This window comes from Homo sapiens, chromosome 3 (genome assembly GCF_000001405.40).
Source record: "Homo sapiens chromosome 3, GRCh38.p14 Primary Assembly".
NCBI lineage: Eukaryota > Metazoa > Chordata > Mammalia > Primates > Hominidae > Homo > Homo sapiens.
The window spans coordinates 46,026,843-46,050,597 of record NC_000003.12 but is presented as its reverse complement, the minus strand read 5'-3'; the positions used below and the strand labels follow the sequence as shown (position 1 = coordinate 46,050,597).

The 23,755-nt window shown below is 39.7% G+C and overlaps 1 protein-coding gene across 3 annotated transcripts in view, besides 2 other annotated features; it reads left to right on the top strand.

Annotated features, from left to right (window-relative positions):
- Nucleotides 1-23,755, top strand: part of XCR1 (X-C motif chemokine receptor 1) — a 68,838-nt gene that overhangs the window by 35,247 nt on the left and 9,836 nt on the right. For 2 of the 3 annotated variants that reach the window (NM_001024644.2, NM_005283.3), the window contains exon 1: nucleotides 23,115-23,181. The exons of the other annotated variant lie outside the window; for it this stretch is intronic. The gene's annotated coding sequence lies outside the window, so the exon portion shown is untranslated. Of the gene's footprint in view, nucleotides 1-23,114; nucleotides 23,182-23,755 lie in introns of those variants that run through there. 3 annotated transcript variants of the gene reach the window in all.
- Nucleotides 19,277-19,777: an enhancer, noted in NCBI's record as "H3K4me1 hESC enhancer chr3:46072313-46072813 (GRCh37/hg19 assembly coordinates)". NCBI's record gives its function as "activates a minimal SCP1, AML or CMV promoter by ChIP-STARR-seq in primed H9 embryonic stem cells {active_cell/tissue: H9 hESC(primed)}" and the evidence as "EXISTENCE:reporter gene assay evidence [ECO:0000049][PMID:30033119]".
- Nucleotides 20,377-20,546: a silencer, noted in NCBI's record as "silent region_14287". NCBI's record gives its function as "represses an Ori minimal core promoter by ATAC-STARR-seq in GM12878 lymphoblastoid cells {active_cell/tissue: GM12878}" and the evidence as "EXISTENCE:reporter gene assay evidence [ECO:0000049][PMID:35858748]".

Below are 23,755 nucleotides of genomic sequence, written 5' to 3'. Positions count from 1 at the left end.
GTTTCCCACTGCGTATATCATTCATTTTATGGATGATATTCTTTTGGCCCCTCCTACAGATCAAATTTTACATAAATTATTCAGAGAAGTAAAGCGAGCTCTTGTCAAATGGAATCTCAAAATTGCTCCAGAGAAAGTGCAAACAACTTCCCCATACCAATACTTAGGAAGTATTGTTAATGGAGAGGAGTGTACGGCTTCAGAAAGTAGTTCTCTGTAAAGACAGGTTACAGACTTTAAATGATTTTCAACAATTAGGAGATATTAACTGGCTACGACCGATGTTAAGTATTGCTGCTACCTATCAACTTACACATCTTTACCAAACCCTGCAAGGAGACTGTTCTTTAAATTCGCTGCAGCAATTAACTAAAGAGGCAGAAGCCGAATTACGGCTTGTAGAGCAAATGTCACAGCAGAGACATGCCTCACCGCTACAACTGCAAAAACCTTTGCTTTTGTTTATTCTTCCTACCCCCAACTCTCCAAGAGGACTTTTGGGCCAGTTCATAGACAAGTCTGTAACAGTAATAGAATGGCTCTTTCTACCTAATCAAACAGTCAAAACCTTGCAAGTTTATCTTTCTTTAATTACACAAATTGTGACTATGGGCAGGCATAGGTCAAGAATGCTTATGGGATATGATCCTGACAAAATTATTGTTCCTGTAGACTCCCAGCAACAAGCCACAGCTTGGGAAATGTCAACTGCCTGGCAGACTACTTTTGCAGACTTCGTGGGTGCTATAGATAACCACTACCCTTCAGACAAAATTTTACAATTTTATAAAATCCATTCTTTCATTCTTCCTGTGATTATTCATTATTCATCACAAGCCTACTCCAGGTGGACAGACTTATTTTACTGATGGTTCTTCCAAAGGTCATGCAGCTATCTATGGACCAAAACATACTCAAACAATAATGACCTCTGGGGTTTCAGCTCAATCCTCAGAGCTAATTGCAGTCATTCAGGTGTTAGAGCTCACAGCTTCAGATCCTATCAAAATTGTCTGTGATTCAGCTTACGTTGTAAATGTAGCCAGTCACATAGAAACTGCTACAATTAAAAATACACTAGACCCAGAACTGCTTATTTTTAAGACTTCAACAAGTTATTCGCTCTCATGCAGCTTCTTTTCATATTTCTCATATTTATTCTCACACACAACTTCCTGGGCCACTATCTCTAGGTAATGAGAAAGCAGACAAACTGATTGGTTCTGTGTTTCAGCAAGCTCAAGCATCTCATGCGCTTCTGCACCAAAATACTTCCGCCCTTACTCACATGTTCCATTTATCTCACAGGCATATTAGGGCTATAACACAAACCTGTCCTACTTGCCAGCATGCCCCTGGAGCCACACCTGTAGAAGGATGTAATCCACGAGGTTTGGCTCCAAATGAAATTTGGCAAATGGATGTTACACACACAGCAACCTTTGGTAAGCTATGTTCATGTGACTATAGACACTTATTTTCATACGCTGCATGTTATGTGCCAAACAGGTGAGACAGCTGGTCATGTACAGTGACATTGCCTATCACCATTTGCTCATATGGGGATACCTAAACAATTAAAAACTGGCAATGGACCCGCTTATACTAGTCACGCTTTTAAAAATTTCTTGCAGCTTTGGGCTATAACCCATAAAACAGGAATTCCTTATAATCCTAGAGGACAAGGCATTATAGAGCAGGCACATCAAACATTACAATGCATGTTGAAAAGACAAAAAGTGGGTATAGGAGGCCAACTACCACCTCAATCAAAACTATATTTAGCCTTATTTACTTTAAATTTTTTGACTCCTGGTATGGATGGTAAGACTCCGGCAAAAAGACATTGGCAAGTGTTAGAGGAAAAGAGGAAAGTTTATCCAAAAATGTTACGGAAATCCCTGGAAGAAGGACAATGAAAAGGTCTGGTGGGTTTACTGAAGTGGGGAAGAGGATATGCTTGTGTTTTCACAGGAGATGGACAAGCCGTGTGGGTGCCCTCAAGGTGCATGCGACCACATAATGGGAGACTAGAGGAACCCAGGGTGGCCAACCATGGGCCCAGTCCCTCCGGTACGAGCCATGAGCCAGCTGAGCCTGAGTGCAAAGAGGGAGAGAAGGCCGACCAGAATCACAATGACATCAACCCCCGTAACCTGGGGACAACTCAAGAAAGCCACACAGGAAACTGAGAAACTACTGGAGTGTCAGGGACAGGCAAAAACCCCTGATTCCATGTTCTTGGCCATGTTAGCCATAATGTCCTGTGCGGTATGTTTTCCTGTGCAGAAGCAAAAACATATTAGGCATATGTTCCCAATCCCCCAGCAGTACGACCTGTACTTTGGAGTGACACTCCTCCTGAGATTTATCACAATCAGGGAGAGTGGGCTCCAGGATCCCAAACTCCCCCTGACATAGAACAGTTAGACTCTCAGAATAATGTCATTAATTATACCGCTCCACTGGAAGGGCTCCCTTTGTGTATCACCACAAAAACGTCACTCAGCCATAGCTGTCTTACAATTCAAGCTCAAACATGGTTGAGTCACTATGGTAAAATCATGTACTTATTAAGTCTTGGTTCTATTAACGTAACTGGTGTGCTAATCAACCATTCCCGGCCCAGTCGCCCTAATTGTGCTGACTATACAGAATGGATTCCCTTCAATAGTTCCTACCCCCGTCCATGGACCCCCTGTCCTGGCCCACTGGCTAGAAAACAATCTATGTTAACTGGAGACATTGCGGACCTAAAGGTCAATTAGATGGAAAAGACAAAAATCAGAAATCATGGCACAAACTGTGCTGGCATTGGTGGCAAGCTTTTAATTCTTCTTCTTTATACAACACTGGCATCCAATCCCAGTCTGCCACCCAGATTGCTTGGCATGGAGCAGGCTTTAGCCCACCTCTTCCTCAGTGGCATTATCTAGGAAGGAAAGGACCAATTCAAGAGACAATATGGAATGCAGCACTCCCATTTATGAATAGCAACATCTGGGTTGGAATACTATCCAATAATAGCAATAGTAAGCCACACAGTCTTAATGTTACATTTGTAAAGAATATCACCACTCAATTTACAGTTTGTGTTTTTAATCCTTATGTCTTTTTGGCAGCTAAGAAGGACCAGCTCCAGGTAAACAATACCAAATTGACCTGTAAATCTTGCCAGTTATATCACTGCATTAATCATAGCACATTGCAAACACGTAGTATCTCTACTTTGATGATTTTAGGTTGCATCCCTTGGCTATGGATTCCTGTTAATCTGTCCGAGCCTTGGGCTGCCACACCTGCTTTGCATTTTGTGAAACTTCTTCTAACTTAGCTTACTCATCGTGTCTGTAGAGCCTTGGGCCTGATAATTTTTGCTATTGTTTCCTTGGTCACACTAATAACTTCTGTTGTGATGTCTTCTGTAGCTTTGCATAATTCTATTCAAACAGCTCAGTATGTGGAGAAATGGATGCACACAGCCTACCAAGTGTGGCTACTTCAGAATAAAATTAACACTGAGTTACAAACTGAAGTGGCAATGTTGAAATCCACGGTTCTATGGTTAGGGGAAAAGCACAAAGCTTGCAATTGCAGCAGCAATTGCGTTGTCATTTTAATCACACTCATATTTGTGTAACCAACTTAAAATATAACCAAAGTGAGTATCCATGGGACCTTGTGAAAGCCCATTTGCAGGGAGCTTTCACATCCAACATCACCTTTGATATTGGTGAATTATAAAACAAAATTCTTGATTTAAATAGGCAAACTCAAGAGTTTCAGCCTTCTTTAGAAGACTGGACCAAATTCCAGGAAGGCCTGGAGAGCCTCAACCCTTGGACCTATCTAAAGCACCACATTAACATCTTATATGTAGTTCTTGGAATAATGTTTTTTTGTCTCTGTCTTCTGTTTATAGTCTGTAAACTCAGATGGACTGCCAATCAAAAAATGAGAGCTGCTCAGCCTGGCCTTACATTCTTTCAATTAATACATAAACAGAAAGGGGGATATGCAGGGAGCCAAAGGCCCATGGGACATGACCAACTCAGCATTCCACTGGAGGCTATATGATCAAACAGCAAACTGTTTATCATGAATGCAGGATGTGGGCAAACTCACGACTGCTCTCACTGCCAGATGGTTTGCTGAAGGCAGTCACTTCCTGGCACTGAGTTCCTTAAGGTTATCTACTGGGACATCTAGAGAATGCAGTCTTGCAAGCCTACTCTGGACCGAGCAGCCGACCCCTTTTCCACGCCACCCTTCTCGCTATCTCTTTTGCCTAATAAATATGGAGGGCTGTGTAAAGCTCAGGGCCCTTGTCCACTAGAGGCAAGGTGCCCCCTGACCCCTTCTTCCAAATATACTCTTTCATCTTTGTCTTTTATTCCTGCGTTCGCCCCCTTTGTTCAGTCCCCCTAGGTCCATGCAGGTTATACCACTTGTAAGTGAGAACGTGCAATATTTATCTTTCTGTGTCTCACTTGTTTCACTTAAGATAATGGCCTCCAGTTCTCTCCATGTTGCTGCAAAAGACATGATTTTATTCTTTTTAACAGCTGAATGGTATTCCATTGTGCTTATATACTACATTTTCTTTATCCAATCACCTGTTGATGGACACTTAGATTGATTCCATATCTTTGCCTTTGTGAATAGTACTTCAATAAACATATGAGTTTAGGTGCTTTTTGATATAATAATTTCTTTCCTTTTGGGTACATACCTAGGAGTGGGATTGCAGGATCCAACGGTAGCTTTATGTTTGGTTCTTTAAGAAATCTCCATACTATTTTCTATAGAGGTTGTACTAATTTACATTCCCATCAACAGTGTTTAGGAGTTCCCTTTTCTCCACATCCTCACCAACATCTGCTATTTTTAACCTTTTAACTAATAGCCATTCTGACTGGTGTAAGATGATATTTTATTGTGGCTTTAGGTTTTTAAAAAAAGTTTTTTTTATCATGTTGAGGAAGTTCTCATATATTTCTAGTTTGCTGAGAGTGTTTATCATGAATGAGTGTTGAATTATGTTGAATGCTTTTTTCTGTATCTATATTGATATGATCATATGATTTCTCTCCTTTACTCTGCTGATGTGATGGATTACATTAATTGATTTTCAAATTTTCAACCAGACTTGTATATCTGGAATGTATCCCAGTTGGTGGTGGTATTTAATTCTTTCTTTTTTTTTTTCCCAAGATGGAGTCTCACTCTGGCGCGATCTCGGCTCACTGCAACCTCTGCCTCCTGAGTTCAAGCAATTCTCTGCCTCAGCCTCCCGAGTAGTTGGGATTACAGGCACCCACCAATTTTTTTTTGTATTTTTGGTAGAGACGAGGTTTCACCATCTGGGCCAGGCTGGTATTGAACTCCTGACCTCATGATCCACCCAATTCAGCCTCCCAAAGTGCTGGGATTACAGGTGTGGGCCACCCCACCCAGCCTAATTCTTTTAATACATTTAGGGGTTTTTTTTGACAATATTTTTGAGGCTTTTTGCGTCTATGTTTATGAGAGATACTGGTTTGTATTTTTCCTTTCTTGTAATGTGTTTATCTGGTTTGGTATTAGGGTAATGCTGGCCTCATAGAATGAGTTCATAAATGTTCCTTCTGCTTTTATTTTCTAGGAGAAAGTGTAGAAAATTAAGAAAGCTTAATAACTTCACTGATTAAGTAGTGTCTCCCTCTGTCACCCAGGCTGGATACCTTTTGGACAGGTTATTAATTATTGATTTAATTTGTTTAATAGCTATAGGCCTACCCATATTCTGTATTTCTCCTTGTGTGAGTTTTGGTAGTTTGTATTTTTCAAGGAATTGGTCTATTTCATCTAAGTTATCGGATTTGCAGGCATAGAGTTGTTCATTATTTCTTTATCATATTTCTAATATCCATGGGATTAGTAGTAATGACTCCTCTTTTCATTTCTGCTATAAGTAATCTGTGTCTTTTTTTCTGTGTAAGCTGGTCTAGAGATTAATCAATTTTATTGATTTGTTTCAAAGAACTAGATTTTAGTTTCATTTATTTTCTCTATTGATTTCTTGTTTTCAATTTTATTGACAATGTACAGAATGGGAGAAAATATTTGCAAATTATACACATAATACCAGAGTATATTAAAAAAACTGCTACAACTCAACAATAATAAAACTGACAACCTAATTAAAAGTGGGCAAAGGACTTGTATAGACTTTTCTCCAAATATATATTATACAAATAGCTAACAAGCACATAAAAAGGTACTCAATATAATAAGTCACCAGAGAAACACAAAATCAAAACCACAATGAGGGCCAGGCATGGTGGCTCATCCCTGTAATCCCAGCACTTTGGGAGGCCAAAGAGAGCAGATCACCTGAGGTCAGGTGTTTGAGACCAACATGGTGAAACCCCATCTCTACTAAAAATACAAAAATTAGCTGGGTGTGGTGGCTCACACCTATAATCCCAGCTACCTGGGAGGCTGAGGCAGGGGAATTGCTTGAACATGGGAGGTGGAGTTTGCAGTGAGCTGAGATTGCACCACTGCACTCTAGCCTGGGTGACAGAGCAAGACTCTGTCTCAAAAAACAAAAACAAAACAAACAAAAAAAACCACAATGGGGTACCACTTCATACCCACTAGGATGGCTACTATAAAAAAGTGGAAAACAACAAGTGTTGGCAAGAATGTGTAGAAATTGGAACCATCATGTTAACACACATAATTTTACTTCTTTGTTTTCAATTTGTATGCTTTAAAAAAACATTCTCTAATTTTTCTGGCTAGACCTTTTAGTATTATGTTGAATAGAAGTAGTGTAAGTAGGCATTCTTGTGTGTGTGTGTGTGTGTGTGTGTGTGTGTGTGTGTGTGTGTGTAGAGATGAGGTCTCACTATGTTGCCCAGGCTGGTCTCAAACTCCTGAGCTCAAGCAATCCTCCTGCCTTGGCCTCCAAAAGTGCTGAGATCACAGGAGTAAGCCATCACACCTGGCCTGTAAGTAGGCATTCTTATTTTATTCCTGATCTTAGGGCAAACGTTTTCAATCTTTTACCAGTGAGTATAAGATCAGCTGTTGGTTTTTCATATATGGACTTTATCATGTTGAAGTATTTCTTAGTCATACTTTTTTGTTTTGGTTTGGTTTGGTTTTTTGAGATGGGGTCTCGCTCTGTTGCCCAGGCTGGAATGCAGTGGTGTGATCTCGGCTCACTGCAACCTCTGCCTCCTGGGTTCAAGCAATTCTCCTACCTCAGCCTGCCGAGTAGCTGGGATTATAGGATATAGACCACCGTGTTGGCTAATTTTTGTATTTTTAGTAGAGACGGGGTTTCTCCATGTTGGCCAGGCTGGTCTTAAACTCCTGACCTCAGGTGATCTGCCTGCCTCAGCCTCCCAAAGTGCTGGGGTTACAGGCATAAGCCACCACACCTGGCCCTGGTGATAATTTACTGAGTGTTTTTATCATGAAAGGGTATTTAATTTTGTCAAGTGCTTTCTGTGCATCAATTGAGATGATCACATGATTTTATCCTTATATTCTATTAAAGTGATGCATTACATTATTGATTTTTTTATATTGAACCACCACTCTTGCATTCAGGGATAAATCTCTCTTAATCCAAGTATATAGCTCTTTTAATATGTTGTTGAATTCAGCTTGCTAGTATTTTGTTGAGGATTTTTGCATCTATATTCATGAAGGATATTGGACTTCAGTTTTCTTTTCTTGTAGTGTCTTTGGCTTTGGTATCACAGTAATGCTGGCCTCACAGATATAGATTAAGAACTGTTCCCTTCTCTTCAATTTTTTGGAAGGGCTTGAGAAGGACTGGAGTTAATTCTTCTTTAAATGTTTGGTAGAATTCACCAACAAAGCCAACTAGTCTTGGACTTTTCTTTATTGGGAAGTTTTTGATTACTGATTCAATATCTTTTCTTGTTATAGGTCCATTCAGGTTTTCTATTTCTTCTTCAGTCAGTTTTGGTAGATTGCATCTTCTTAAGAATCGGTCCATTTTATCAGTTACCCAATTTGTTGGCCTTCAATTGTTCATCATATTCTCTCATAATCTTTTCTATTTCTATAAAATCAGTAGTAATGTCCCCACTTTCCTTTCTGATATTAGTAATTGGAGTTCTCTCTCTATATATCTCTAACTGTCTCTTTACTCAATATAGCTAAATATTTGTCAATTTTTTTTAAAGAGCAAACTTTGATTCTGTTTATTTTCTCTATTGTTTTCTATTCTCTCATTTGATTATTTCTACTCTACTCTTTTTTGTTCCTTCCTTCTGCTAGCATTGGGTTAGTTTGCTCTTCTTTTTCTAGTTCCTTAGAGTATAAAGTTAGGTTGTTGATTTGAGATATTTCTTCTTTATAAAGTATAGGCATTTACAGTATAAATTTCCCTCTGAGCACTGCTTTAAAAGCAGCATCACATAAGTTTTGACATGCGTTTTTCTTTTCACTCACCTAAAGATATCTCCTATTTTCCCTTATGATTTCTTATCTGCCATAATAGTTGTGTTACTGAAACACCAGTGGTTCACTCTGGGTTCCACTGCTTACCTCACAGAAAGCCAGTCACGGAGACAATGAATATTGCCAAGGAAGAAGGTGTTAATTGGGTGCTGAAGCTGAGGAAATGGGAGCTCAGTCTCAAATCCATCTCCCTGACCAACTAAAACTAGGGGGTTTATATAGCAGGGAAGACATATAACAATGTACAAGAAAACAGGAACTAGGGAGTAGCAAGGAAGCAAGTATGATAAATGAGAAGGCTGGTGTTTCATTGTCTGAATACTATGATCTGGTGAGCTTCAGTTATTTGATACTTTTTGGGAGACCAGGGGATCCTTTCCTGGGGAAGGAACTCAGCTAAAACAAATGTAAGTTTCAAGCTTTAAGACCAGAAGGATCAATTTCTATGTTTATCCAAAAACAACTGTCTATGCGATCACTGGGTCGGCTTCAGTCCCCCCTTTCTATTTATAAATTCCTCAATCATGGGGAATCTGGTCATTGATCTTTCTGGCTGCTTCATGCTAAGGAGGGGCTTCGTGGGAAGGTCTATACCATGGGTGGCCTTGCAGCCACCCAGAAATCAAAGATTAATCTACTATAGAGTTTTCATCTGAAACACAATCTTTCTCTCTCCAGGCCCTCAGTTCCACCAAAGACAAATCATAGCAGGACCAATTTACCAGCAAAATAAGCTCCAGACCCTTCTACTTGGCCTGATTACTCACACAAAGTGCAACAAGAATCATTGTCCACATAGGCTCTCCTAAATTGGCTTTGCTGGAACCTCTCGCAAGGCCATTTCAGTCAAAGCCCTTAGAAAATAACCAATTCCTCCAACTGTGTCCCATTATAAGAGAAAACAGCTTCTTATTGAACTTATGCAAATAAACACATTGCCATGAATCAGGAATATTCACAAATAGTTTACAAATTCTGGAGAAATTAGGCAGAGAGAGAAATATGCCTCAAATTCTGTTTATAAAACTATACGCTGCTCAATATACAAAGCATATTTAAAGGCTATAAATGGCTCAAAAGAAAAAAATTCTGCAGACTCTGAAAAACAAACAAAAAAGAATCGGCAATATTTCAAACAAAAAAAGCCATAAAAAATATTTTAGTCCTCCATTAGTTTGATCCATGCAATCAACTCCTGCTCTGCTTCACACTGGGCTAGCAATCTTTATGAACACATCAGCCTTTCAATTAGTGTCCTACAAATTTTCTCTCTAATCTAATTCTTCAGAGTTATCAGACACATGCATTCAAGAGTCCTTTTCATGAACTCTTCCAAAGAATCAAGCCCTAGACTGAAGCTGATTATAAGTCACTTTTTGAGGAGCATCAAGGCAAAATAACAATTACAGATGACAAAAGTCTTAGGAGCCATAGCCAAAGACACAGTTGACAAGGAAATTTGGTTATTTCTGTGGCATACAACAATTTAACATAATAATCGTAATTATTACTGACAACATATATTAAGACATATCAGAATTTCAGGAATATCATATAATCCTGGAACACACATTAGCAACATATCTATATAACTATAACCCAAAGAAAGTTAAATACCACTTCACATTTGACAATGCTTGCTGTATAATTCTAACTTATAAAATAAGCCTAATAAGCCTAATAGATCTCTCTTGGACTTCAGGGAATTTAACATCCAAAAAAGTTAGTTTGAGGTCAAAAAGACTGAATTTGGAACTTGAAATTTTGCTATTGTAAAGTCTGTCAAATATCAAAGGCTTACAACACTTAATATAACAAAATAGGATCACAAATTACTATAAAATAATCATTTATTTAGCCAAAATTATAATATAAAATGTTTACTCTTTGATAAAGAGGAGTCCGTTTCCTATACAGTAAGACCTAATAAAAAAGGCATGAGGTCAATAAACCTGTCTCCCTTCCTTTATTTTGTTCTTCTGTGGTTTTACTCAAAAGGTAAACAAAAGTCTCTTATTATCTCTTGCATGAAAATTGTGTTCAAAAGAGAAAACCATATTTTACCTTTGTATGGGGTATTATTAACGTTAAAGCTAACTTTAATAAAACCTTATAAACAAATCTAATTTTAATCAGTTTTACCATAAGGTAAGATTTCCATAAACCTTTTGTAACCTTTTATAATTTTCTATTGAAAAACAGATCAATGCTCCTAGAAAACCCTGTTATTCTGACACACTGGCCCAGACACTGGCCTTGCGTAAGTGTGATTTTGATATTGTTTAATTTATAGAAAAACTCTATACTAATCTTATCCCTCAAAATTGATCCTTGCAATATCATGGACCTACCTCTTCTACAATAGTCCCTGGGCCTAGAGGGATGGAATAGTTTTAATTTCTGAACCTGCGTCTTAGGAAAACCGTTCATTTTGATTGTCACCTTCTCTTGGGTCTGAAAATAAGGCTTCAAATGGTGTTAATGCTCAAGATTTTGCAGGGGTCAGTGCCTTTTTCAGACTCAGGAGTCAAAGGCCTGTAACTTAACAGCACAAGGATTACTTAATAGATTATTTATACTACAGAAAGTCCTATCATTCTAACATGTCACAAATTAAAACATTGTGATTTGGTGTCTAGGAGTGACTGCCTGCAGTACTTCAAACCACCGGATTAAAGTAGTTAGGTTACGCATTGCACATGTCTAATTGCTAGCATTCTAGTGACAGAACTATGGCTAAAAGCATTAAAAAATGTGATAGGTCCTATGCCAAACTTATCAAAGTAAGACAATTAACTTTCCATCATTAAAGAAATGGTAAATGCAAGTATCAGTTTTGCAAATTCAGTATGAGAATATCTCCTTTCACTTAAATACCGTACAACAAAACAAGAACAAAGTAAAGCACACAATAATTTCTTTTCAGCTATTTAAAAGAGCATCATCACACATTTCCAAGATTGGTTTCTAGATACAGTACTGACAGCTGATTAGGTAACTTTCACCACAAAAATCTTCAAACCAGTGAAACACTTGCACATATGTTGTTTTCAAGTACACACATGAGGACCCATCAGTGATAAATGGCTTTGGGTCAAAGATAACTGGAAAGTCTCACTTTTTTTTTTTTAACCACTTAATCAAAGTGAATATCACTTAATTGTAATTAATTTGAAAAAAATTCCAATCAATATAATTTACTTAAGGATAAGGCCAATCTTTCCTTAGCATTAAGTTTATAGCCGTATCACAGTTTTCCCTCATTACAGGAAAAGATGTAAAACCAACTCAAATTGTTGATTGAATTGAATTACCTTGGAAATTATTCTCACCTACTTTTTCCAGTAAAATAAATAGTATACTATTTCTGCTTAGAACTTGTAAAAATAAGTCTTGTATTTTTTGGCCAGGATCTTTAAATCTCTCATAGTTCTCAAGATCATCAGGGGTAAGCAAAACCAATCAAATGTTAAATGGCTGGTGTTTATTAATTTTTGGAGGCTTGACAAAGGTAGCCTAGGAATTCTGGATAAACAGAACAAATGATGACTCGTTAGAAATGCATAGGAAACAAAATGTCTATTCAAAGAACCAAATAAAAGCCTTCAATTGCAAACTAAAAACATCAATAGTTTTATAGAGATGTATACATAAGTAAAACCCAAAAGAGAATAAACAACAATAATTGAAAATTAGAAGCAAAAATAAACAGGAAACCAACCCCAAATTTTTATCCTACTCAGTTTACCTTGGAGGCTAAAGTGTTACCTAGAGGTTAAAAAAACACACACACGGCCAGGCACGGTGGTTCATGCCTGTAATCCCAGCACTTTGGGAGACCAAGCCTGGCAGATCACCTGAGGTCAGGAATTCCAGACAAGCCTGGCCAACATAGTGAAACCCCACCTCTCAGAAAAATACAAGGCATGGTGGCACGTGCCTGTAATCTCAGCTACTTGGGAGGCTGAGGCAGAAAAATTGCTTGAACCTGGGAGGCAGAGTTTGCAGTGAGCCAAGATTGCACCATTGCACTCCAGCCTGGGTGACAGAGCAAGACTCCCTCTCAAAAAAAAAAAAAAACAAAAAACAAACCCGTGCACACAACATATATTTTATTCCTGGTGCACAGATTAACGTCTTCAAGTCAACTGATAGCACTATACATTTTTTGAAATTAAGAAATTCATCTAGGTACATGACCCGTACAAGTACCTTAGTACCAGTACTATCTATGCAAAATAGCAAATATACTGTGAAGCAATGCAAGCATGTATGTGAAATTTGGCTCCATGCTAAATCTGGCTTCACAGTTAATTGTATTAAAAAAGAATTGCCAAACTGACAGTATATTTCTTTATAATATTTATTTTATCTTCATCAAAACTAAGAGCTTTAACTATGAGCAATGTTAATCAGTCAAATTTTTCCAATTTTCTATCAGGTTTTAAGGGATATTTTACTATCTAAACTTTTTCAACTTTCTATTTTCTCTGTGTGTGCATAAAGATAGAAACACAGAGAACCAGGAAAAAGCAACATATGACTTACATAGACCATCTATGATACTTTTGGACTTCTTATTTTGTCCTAAATTTTATTTTCTTTTTTAAATAACTAGTCATTTTATTTTAGGACAAAAATTCACCATACAAGATCTTTCTCATACAATATTTTTCTCTTTTCTTTATAACCTTTCTCACACAATATTTTTCTCTTTTCTTTATAACCTTTCTCACCAAAAATACGTTGTCACATTCATAACTTTCTTCATATCTCTCTCCCCTATTTACTGGTTCCTTTCTACCTTGTTTCATAAATAACATTTTCAAGTCCATAGTTTGAATTAACATTCAGATAACTCCTGAATTAGACAAAATTATTCTTTTTCTCACTAAGAACACACATTTTTGGGTAGCTTTTATATACAGAATTAATATAATTCTTATACTTAGTAACCCTAAATTTTAGTGAAATACTATGAGGCAAGAAACCCTCAACTGCCTACCAGATATTAGCATTTTATAAATGAGAACAATTCTATAATTTTTAGAAATATATTTCCCGATATCATAACCCTTCCTTAATTGGAAATGACTCAGGCATCCAATAAGCATTGAAAATAACTTTTAAGATTATAAGTTACACAAAAACTTCACCTATAGCACTTACTCACATTTTTTATTTATTTTTGGCAGTTTATCTCGATTACTTATGCATTATTTATTTCCTTGTTAACCATTTTATAACCTGTGAATATCAGGTGTTTACCTAAATAAGAACTTTAAGTTAACTACAAGGGCATTTTCACCAGTAACTCAGAAGATTCAGCTGTTTTCATTAAACCAATAACATTAAATTAGTCTTACTTATTAAAAAATTCCTACAAAGATCATTTTGTTCTGGCTAGGTTTATCATTTTATAACCTGTGCCAAACCCTGATACCTCAAAATATCTAGCAGAGACAAATATAAAGCCCAAACAAAAATATATGTTAACAATTCTTAAGACATTCCTATTTTTATTTTATTAATATTTTTAAAGCCAGTTCATTTATTAAAGATTTACTTAAGTCATGTGAACTTGAAAAATACTTTGGGCTTACTTAATTTATGAGTTCTGTTTTGTTTACAAGCCAATTTGTTAGACAAAAAGACATAGCATAATAAATGTACATACATAAACACATCTAGACATGCATATGCACACATACAAAGTCATTGGTTTACGTGGTTACACTTTATTTGCCCCATATGTAATCCAACATAGGGTGTGAACCAAAATTTTGGGTAAAGCAGTTTCCATAGCAGTTTGATTTTTAAAGGCCAAACCTCCTCAGACTCCAAGGAACACTGGGGCCAAACAGCACCACAGAAAACCACCTGGAACCTATTAACCAGGCCCAACCTGCTCAGAACAGCAACATAAAAGCCTGGATACAGGAAACTCCATCCCACTTTCTCATTCAACAGCAAACTCCGATTCCAAACAATATTGGGGACAAGCATTATTACAAAAGAATATCAGTTTATGTAATTCTAATTTCCCATGATACACACACAATCACCAAAACACAGTCTGACCACTGCAGCAATAAACAAGCCCCAAGAGTGTCCAAATTGAAACAGCCGGGGTCCTTCCTCTCTCCACTGGTTGGGCTTAATCAACCTGCAAACAAAAATTCCTTAGGAATTTCCCAAATTGAGAGGAGCACATCCTGCTATCTGGTACCCACAAAAGACACTCACTTGCCTGGACACACACACAAACAATTACAAACAAGCCCCCAAGAGTGTCCGTAGTGAAACAGGGTGCTTCCCTCACTGTCAGTTGGGCTTGTTCAACCTGCAAATGGAAATTCTTTCAAAAATTTCCCAAATTGAGAGGAGCATCTCCTGCTGTCTGGGCCCACAAAGGACACTCACCTATCGGGATGCAGATGTCAAATTTCAAAGACAGTTCTTCATAGGCAATCAGGAACACAGTTGAGACCAGCTGTAGTGGGGCCAGAGACAGACTGAAACTTATCTCCAACCAAAACTGAGTGGGCAGCTGCTTAGGAGGGCTTTTGAGACTCCTGGCCCATGGCAGCTGAGCAATGAGCAACTGTGGCAACACGTTGCTGGTTAGGGAACCAAAATCTGTTACTGAAATACCAGGAGTTTCGTCTAGGTCCCGTTGCTCATGGCACAGAAAACCAATGACTGAGACAATTATTGCCAATGAAGAAGGCTTTAATCAGGTGCTGCAACTGAGGAGATAGGAGCTTAGTCTCAAATCCATCTCCCTGACTGACTAAAAGGAGATGTTTACATAGCAGAGAAGAAATGTAACAATGTGTAAGAAAACAGGAACTATGGGGCCAGGCATGGTGGCTCACGCCTGTAATCCCGACACTTTGGGAGGCCTAGGTGGGCAGATCAGGAGGTCAGGAGTTTGAGACCAGCCTGACCAACATGGTGAAACCCCATCTCTACCAAAAACACAAAAATTAGCGGGCTGTGGTGGTGAGCACCTGTAATCCCAGCTACTCAGGAGGCTGAGGCGGGAGAATCACTTGAACCTGGGAGGAAGAGGTTGCAGTGAGCCGAGATCACACCACTGCACTCCAGCCTGTCGACAGAGTGAGACTCCGTCTCAAAAGAAAAAGAAAACAGGAACTATGGAGGGGCAAGGAGGCAATCATGATGAATGAAGGGTCTGGCATCTCATTATCTGGATGCGGTGATATGGTGAGTTTCTGGTGGTTGATAATTTTTTTGAGAGGCCTGAAGGTCTTTCCTGAGGAAGAAACTCAGGTAAAACAAATACAAGTTTTAAGCTTTAAAACCAGAAGCTTTTTTCATCAAAAAAGCTCTCTATGGGACTATTGGGTCAGTTTCATTATGAGAAATTAGTTAGTGGGTACCATGTATATTATTCAGGTGGTATATATCATAAAAACCCTGACTTCACCATTATGCAATATATGCACGTAACAAAACTATACTTGTACACATACATTTATATAATTTTTTAAAGAAAACCTAAACCTAACATTCTTAAGGGTAAGAAACTGGATGTGTTTCCCCTAAGAATAGGAGCACGTCAAGGATGTCCTCTGTCACCATTCCTATTCAACATTGTACTGAACATCCAGCTGTTGCAATAAAACAAAAAAAAAAGGAAATAAAAGGTATAAAGATTGGGAAAGAAGAGATAAAAATATCTTTGCAGATGACATGGTTCTCACAGTATAAAATCTCAAAGAATGCACAAAAAAACTCCTATAATTTATATAGCAAGCCTGCAGAAGGCAAGGCTAATATACAAAAGACTTGGCTCTTCTAAATACCAGCAATGGCCAGGTGCAGTGGCTCACACCTGTAATCCCAGCACTTTGGGAGGCCAAGTAGGGTGGATCACCTGATGTCAGGAGTTCGAGACCATCCTGACCAACGTGGTGAAACCCCGTCTACTAAAAATACAAAAAATTAGCTGGGCATGAGGGCAGGCACCTGTAATCCCAGCTACTCCAGAGGCTGATACAGGAGAATCACTTGAACCCAGGAGGCAGAGGTTGCAGTGAGCCAGGATCACGCCACTGCACTCCAGCCTGGCAACAGAGTGAGACTCTGTCTAAAAGAAAAAGAAAAAAAAAACAGCAATGAACACTTGAAATTTGAAATTGAAAACAAGACCATTTACATTAGCACCAAAAAATTTTAAATGCCTGAGCATCAATTTCATAAAATATATACAGAATTTATCTAAGGAAAACTATAAAACTCTATAAAAGAAATCAACGAAGACCTAAATGAATGGAGCAATATTCCATGTTTAAGGATAAGAAGACTCAATATTGTCAAGATGGCAATTCTTAACTTGATCTATAGCTATAATGCAATCCCAATCAAAACCCAGCAATTTATTTTGTGAATATCAACAAACTGATTCTAAAGCTTATTTGGAAAGACAAAAGACCTAGAATAACCAACAAAAAACTGAAGAAGAACAAAGTCAGGGGCCTAGCATTACCAAACTTTAAGACTTTATATAAAGTTACAGTAATCAAGATAGTGTGACACTGGTGAAAGTATACTAGCAGAACATAACAGAGAGCCCAGAAATAGACTTGCACTAATATAGTCAACTGATTTTTGTCAAAGACGTATAGGTAATTAAATGGATAAAGGATATTTTCAACAAGTGGTGCTAGAACAATTGTACATCTACATGCAAAAGAGGAATCTATACACAGATCTTACACCTTTCACAAAAAACTCAAAATGCATCTTAAATCTAAATGCAAAATGCAAATGTACAAAACTTCTAGCAAGTAACACCGGAGAAAATCTAGATGGCCTTGGATTTTTTATGAGTTTTTATTATTTTTGTTTTTCTTTAATTTTTGCCTTCTTTTTCTGATACCTAGGTAGGACCCCAAACTGAGGAGTTTTTGATACAATACTGTGAAAGAAAAAAGTAATAAATTAGACTTTATTACAATTTAAAACTTTTGCGCTACAAAAAAAAACCTTGTTAAAAGAATGAATAGACAAGCCAGATACAGGGAGAAAATATTTGAAAAAAATTTTGGATATAGGACTTATATCCAAAATATACAAAGAACTCTTAGAACTCAATGATAAGAAAACAATCCAATTTAGAAAATGGACAAAATATCTAAACAGACACTTCACCACAGATGATAGACAGATTCGAAATTGCATATGAAAAGATGCTCAACATCATATGTCATTATAGAATTACAAATTAAAATGTCAATGAGGTACCCCATGCACGTATTAGAATGGATACATTTTTTAGAACCTGACATCAAATGCTAACGTGAATGTGGATGTCTAGCAATGAGAATGCTCATTCATTGATGATGGAAGTGCAAAATGATCCAGCCACTTTGGAAGACAGTTTTACAGTTTATTACAAAGCTAAACATAGTCTTATTGTTACAAGATCTTTGGGGGGTCTCTTTTCTGGCTGGAAACCTGTGGCCAGTGGTGCCTTTGCCCAAGTTTTCCTCAGGCCCACTGGGCTTATCCTGCTCACTCAGCCTGGTAGGCTGCACTAGGCTCACACTACCAGCCTGTATCCCATGCCTCCAAGGGAGACTGTGAGTCAGGCATGAAGTGGCAAGGGCTGTGTGAGCAAGTGTGGGGTCCAGCATTGCATAGTGAGACATGCCAGCTATGCTGTGGGGTGGGCAGCTCCAGGTGCCAGCCTGGATGCTGGCTCTCTGTGAAGCTATGGCTGGACCAGATGCACCACAAGCAGCTTCCCCTGCTAGCGTAAGGGAATGCAGTGGTACACGGAGACTTAGAGATGCTAGGAACCACAAGGCCCCAAAGAGGAAGTCACGGTCCTAGCTTGGGGAGCACCCCAGGTCTGGGATCCCCAAAGGACCACAGCTTTTCTCTCCTCTTCGCCCATATGGCAAGCAGGGGGCATGTTTCAGCACTGTTTGTGTTACAGTTCTTTTAGCGTCACCATTTGGTGGGTCCAAAGTTCTTGTCCTGCAAACCAGAAGAATGAAGTATGCAGAGAAGTGCAGCATGAACAAGATGAAGAGCTTTATCAAGCAATAGAACAGCTCAGAGAAGACTCACAGTGCATAGCTCCTTTCTGCAGCCAGGGTGTCCCAATGAGTGTTCAGCTCCTACCAGAGAGGAGATGCTGGAGTGGGAAGCTCCTCTCTGCAGGCAGGTTATCCCATTGTCTCTGCGGCTCTCAGCAGAGAGGAGGCCCTAGAGTGGGTAGCCTCTCTTAGACAGGTCATCCCATTGTCTCTTCATCATCTCTCCATCCTCTTCCCAAATCTGGCTGAGTCCAGGGTTTTTATGGGCAGCAGAGGGGAGAAAGTCCATGGGTGGCCATGGGCCAGAACAAGGAAAGGCACCAAAAGGTCCCCCTGTGGTTCGTGGGACTGTCAGCCCAGCCACCTGGCTTCAGGCCTTCCCCAGCTTGAAGGTGGGGCTTCACCAGGGACCTGGCCCTTTCTGCCCAGGAGCTTGTTCACCACCCACCACTGTTTATGGGACTCAGGCTGTTCATGCCAAGGGTTGCCTGCAGGCCAGGAATGAGCTGCCCTCAGCGCCCCCCTCCTCAGCCTTCCTCCTGTGCTCATCGGTGCACAAAGTCCAGAGGGGGCCAAGGTGACAGGGCCTAGCATGTCAGCACTGCCCCAAGCATGCACACATCTGGCCAGGTTGCAACAGCACCCAAGCTTGGCCCCAACCTTACTCCAAGATCAGAGCAGGCAGTGACAGTGGGGAGAAGCCAAACAGCAGGAGCAGGTACTTCCAAGCCTGTGGGCAGCGGGGGACCTTCCCAGGCCCCCGACAGTGCAGAGATGCCTGGATCCATAGCTACAGCAGGGTGGCTGTAGCAGTGCCTTGGAGGGCGGGGCTCCTGCCTGTTCCTAGCTCCCAAGAGCACAGGGGTGCCCAAGTCACAGCCATGGCTTCAGCAGCTGCAGTTGTGCCTGGGGAGTTCCGTGTCCCACCAACTTCTAAGGGGCAGGGCTCCCATTTGTCCCCAGCTCCTGCCGGCTGTGTGGAGCATGCAGCCCCAGCCACACCTCCTCTCCGCATTTTCCCCACAGTGGTTCTGGGCAAGGTGCAGGTGGCGTGGTGGCCCTGGCCAACCCCGCACAAATGAACCTGACACTCCCAGGGCTAGCCCTGAAAGTCCCAGCTACACCTTTGGCCAGATACTCACAGGCTCCCAGAACACGGCAGGGAATGAGTTGAGGCTGCGGCAGAGGCTCCAGGCCTGAGAGTAGGTCCTGCCCGGCCATGCAAGGGTAGGGGTGGTGTGCAGTAAGCTGCCTCAGGGATGCAGGGCATGGGGATGCAGGGCACAGAGGTCCCACCACCCCCACTGCTGCTCCTGCAGCTGCTCCTGCCACCACCGCTCATGCCTCCCTGCTGCAGCTGGCATGATGGTAGCAGCTGCTCTGGATGGCCCACCACTGCCATTATTATCATATAATCCAATCACACTCCTAGTTATAATCGAGCTCAAAACTATGTGTAAACAAAAACCTGCATTCAAATACATATCGTGTATAAAATACTTTTTTATACATAGTGTATAGTGCATAAAGTATTTTTCATAATTTCAAAGAAATAGGATTAACCAAGATGTCCTTCAATAGGTGAAGGAATAAAAAAATCTGTGGTATTTCCATACAATAAACTCAAGAGATGCAGAATAAGCATTTAACAAAACCCAACATCATTTCATGATAAAAACACTCAACAAATTAGAAATAGAGGGGAATTTCCTAATCTGATAAAAGGCATGTATTAAAAACCCACAATTAACATCATACTTGTAGTGAAAGACTAGAAGCTTTTCTCCTAAGATCAGAAACAAGACAATGATGTCCATTGTCCTCTCCTATTTGACATTGCATTGGTGGTTCCAGCCAGGACAACTAAACACGGTGGGGGGAAAAGTACCCAGATTGGAAAGGAAGAAGTGAAACTATTTCTATATGCAGATGTCATGACTTTATAGTACATAGAGAACTGAAAGAATCCACCAAAAAAACAAAAACAAAAACAAAAAACTATTAAAGCTAATAAATAAGCTCAAGGTACAAGATCAATATATAAAAATCAGTTGTATTTTTATACAGTAGCAATGAACAATCTGAAAATGAAATTAACAAAACAATTCCATTTACAATAGCATAAAAATACTTAGGAATAAATTTAACCAAGAATGCACAAAATCTACTCACTGAAAACCACAAAACAATGTGGAAAAAAAACTAAAGAAGACATATGTAAATAGAAGGACTTTCAGTGTTCCCGGATTGGAAGACCCAATATTGTTAAAACGGCAATACTCCCCAAACTGATCTACAAATTCGATGCAATTTCCATCAAAATTCTTTTAAAATTTCTTGATAGTGTCCTTTGACACACAAAAGTGTTGTAGGTTTTTTAGCCCTTGCATCTGGCTCTTTAATCCATTTTGAGTTAATTTTTGTATATGATGTGAGGTAAGAGTACAACTTTGTCTTGTATATGACTATCTAGTTTTCCTGGCACCATTTGTTAAGAAGAATATTCTTTTAACACTGAATGGCCTTGTAAATGGTCTTGATTTTTGACCCTTGTCAAAAATCAGTTGACAATCCCAGCACTTTGGGAGGCTGAGGCAAGCAGATCACTTGAGCCCAGGAGTTGAAGACCAGCCTGGGAAACATGGTAAAACCCTGTCTCTATAAAAATTAGCCAGGCATGTTGGTGTGCACCTGTAGTCCCAGCTACTCAGGAGGCTGAAGTAGGAGGATCACTTAGGCCTGGGAGATTGAAGCTGCAGTGAGCCATGATCGCACCACTACACTCCAGACGGGGCAACAGAGTGAGAACCTGTCTCAAAACAAACAAACAAAAAATCAATTGACCATAGATGTATGGCTTTCCCCATTGTATTTCATTGATCTATATGTCTCCAATCTTGAATAGAAGAAAGAACAAAGTTGGAGGATTTGTGATTTCAAGACTTACTACAAAGGTAATCAAAACTCTATGGTACTGACATAAGGATAGATGCAAAGACCAATGGAATATAACTGAAAGTTCAGAGCTAAGCCATAGCTATAAATCCCTATAACCTGACTAGGCAAGGATTTCTTAACTACAACAGCAAAATCACAAGCAACAAAAGAAATAATTTATAAATTAGATTTCGTGAAAGTTAAAAACAGGTCAGGCATGGTGGCTCAGGTCTATAATCTCAGAGCTTTGGGAGGGCAAGGCAGGAGGATCACTTGAGGCCAAGAGTCCAAGATTAGTCTGGGCAATATAGTGAGACCCTGTCTCTACAAAAAAATTAAAATAATTAGCTGGATGTGGTGCTGTGTACCTATAGTCTTAGCTACTTAGGAGGCTGAGGCGAGAGTATCTCTTGAGCTCCAGAGTTCAAGGCAATAGTGAGCTGATCATGCCACTGAATTCAGGCCTGGGTGACAGAGTGAGGGCCTGCCTCAAAAAAAAAAAGGAAAGAAAAGAAAAAGAAGATGTAAAGCATTTGTGTGTCGAAGGGTATTATGAAGAATTAAAAAGAAACCCAAGGAATGAGATAAATTATTTTTAAATCATATCTCTGATAAGGATCTAGTATCCAGAATGTAGAAATAACTCTTACAATTTAATAATAAAAAGACTAATAACTCAAATTTTTAAAAGGCAAAGGTTCTGAATAGACACTTCTACAAAGAGATACACAAATGACCAATACACATATAAAAAGATGCTCAACATCTTTATTCATTAAGGATGTGGAAAAACTGTCTCCTACTGTTGCAGCTGTTTCACTCCTGTTGTTTGGTGAGTGGGAGGGAGTGTTACAGCTCTTTTACTCCCCCCACTGGTGAGCTCCAAGTTCTTGTCCCACGACCAAGAAAAATAAGGCACACAGACACTGGAGAGTGAAGAAGGCAGAGTTGGATTTATTAAGCCACAGAAAAGCTCTCAGCAAAGAGAGGGGACCCAAAAGAGGGTTGCTAGCTAAAAGTCTGAGTCACAGGTTTTTACAGGCTTAGAATGAGGAAATACGTGCTGATTGGTTTATGGGTAGGCTTGGAAAAAGCACTACTCAGGAAGAGGTACAATAGTGTAAAGAACCAATTGGGGGCTGAAGTGAAAGCTTGGACTGAGACCTTGGCCCAGGACCAATCAGGGGCTGAAGTGACGTTACACTTTATGCAAATGAAAATTTGGCGAGCAGCTAATCACAGAAAGATAGGTATATGTTAAACAGGTAAAAGGTAAGGACCAATCGGGAGGAAGCATGTGAAATGAGACAAAGGCGTGCCAAGGAGAGGGATATATGTTCAAAAAAGGAGTGGAATTTGTTCATCTGGATTCATGGAGTAGGCGTTTCTATTCAAACATGCAGGCTCTTTTCTTTATCCAGGGCTTGCAGCTTGATTTTCAGGCTGTTCTTGGTTTGAAGGAGTTCCACCAAGGATCCACCCTAACTGCCTGCCTGACTGGCTTCTTCCTTCCTCCTCTCTCACTAGCTGTCCCCCTCTGGCCCCCTGGCTCTCTCTGAGACTCCTCCCATCCTCCTCCTCCAGCCTTCTGGGCAGGACAGGTGTTTCAGTTTCTTTAAGTGAAATATGAAACAGAGAAGCACCATTTCTGCCTCAAGACGCATGTAAAGAGGTGTAGATTCAGGTGAGTTCCTTTACAAACATTTTAAACTTATGTTTTCCTCTAATTGTAACAGCCTATATCAGGAGTTCTTAAGCTTTGCTGCACATCAGAACCACCTGGAGGGCTAGTAAATATGCTGATTCCTGAGCTACCTCTGAAGGCTCTTATTCCTTTGGTATAGGGATTTCCCAAGAATCTGCATTCTTTTCAGAAAAGCTGATCTGGGCTGGGCGCAGTGGCTCATGCCTGTAATTCCAGCACTTTGGGAGGCCAAGGCTGGCAGATTGCTTAAGTCCAGGAGTTCCGGATTGGCCTGGCAGATTTCTTGAGTCCAGGAGTTCCTTACCTAACATGATGAGACCCTATCTCTGCAAAAAATACCCCAAAAAATTAGCTAGGTGTGGTAGCACACATCTGTACTACCAGCTACTCAGGAGGCTAAGGTGAGGGGATCACTTGAGCTCAGGAGGTTGAGATGTGATCACACCACTGCATTCCAGCATGGGTGATAGGGCGAGACCCTGTCAAAAAAAAAAAAAATCAAAGAAGAAAAATTGGCTGGGCGTGGTGGCTCCCACCTGTAATCCCAGCACTT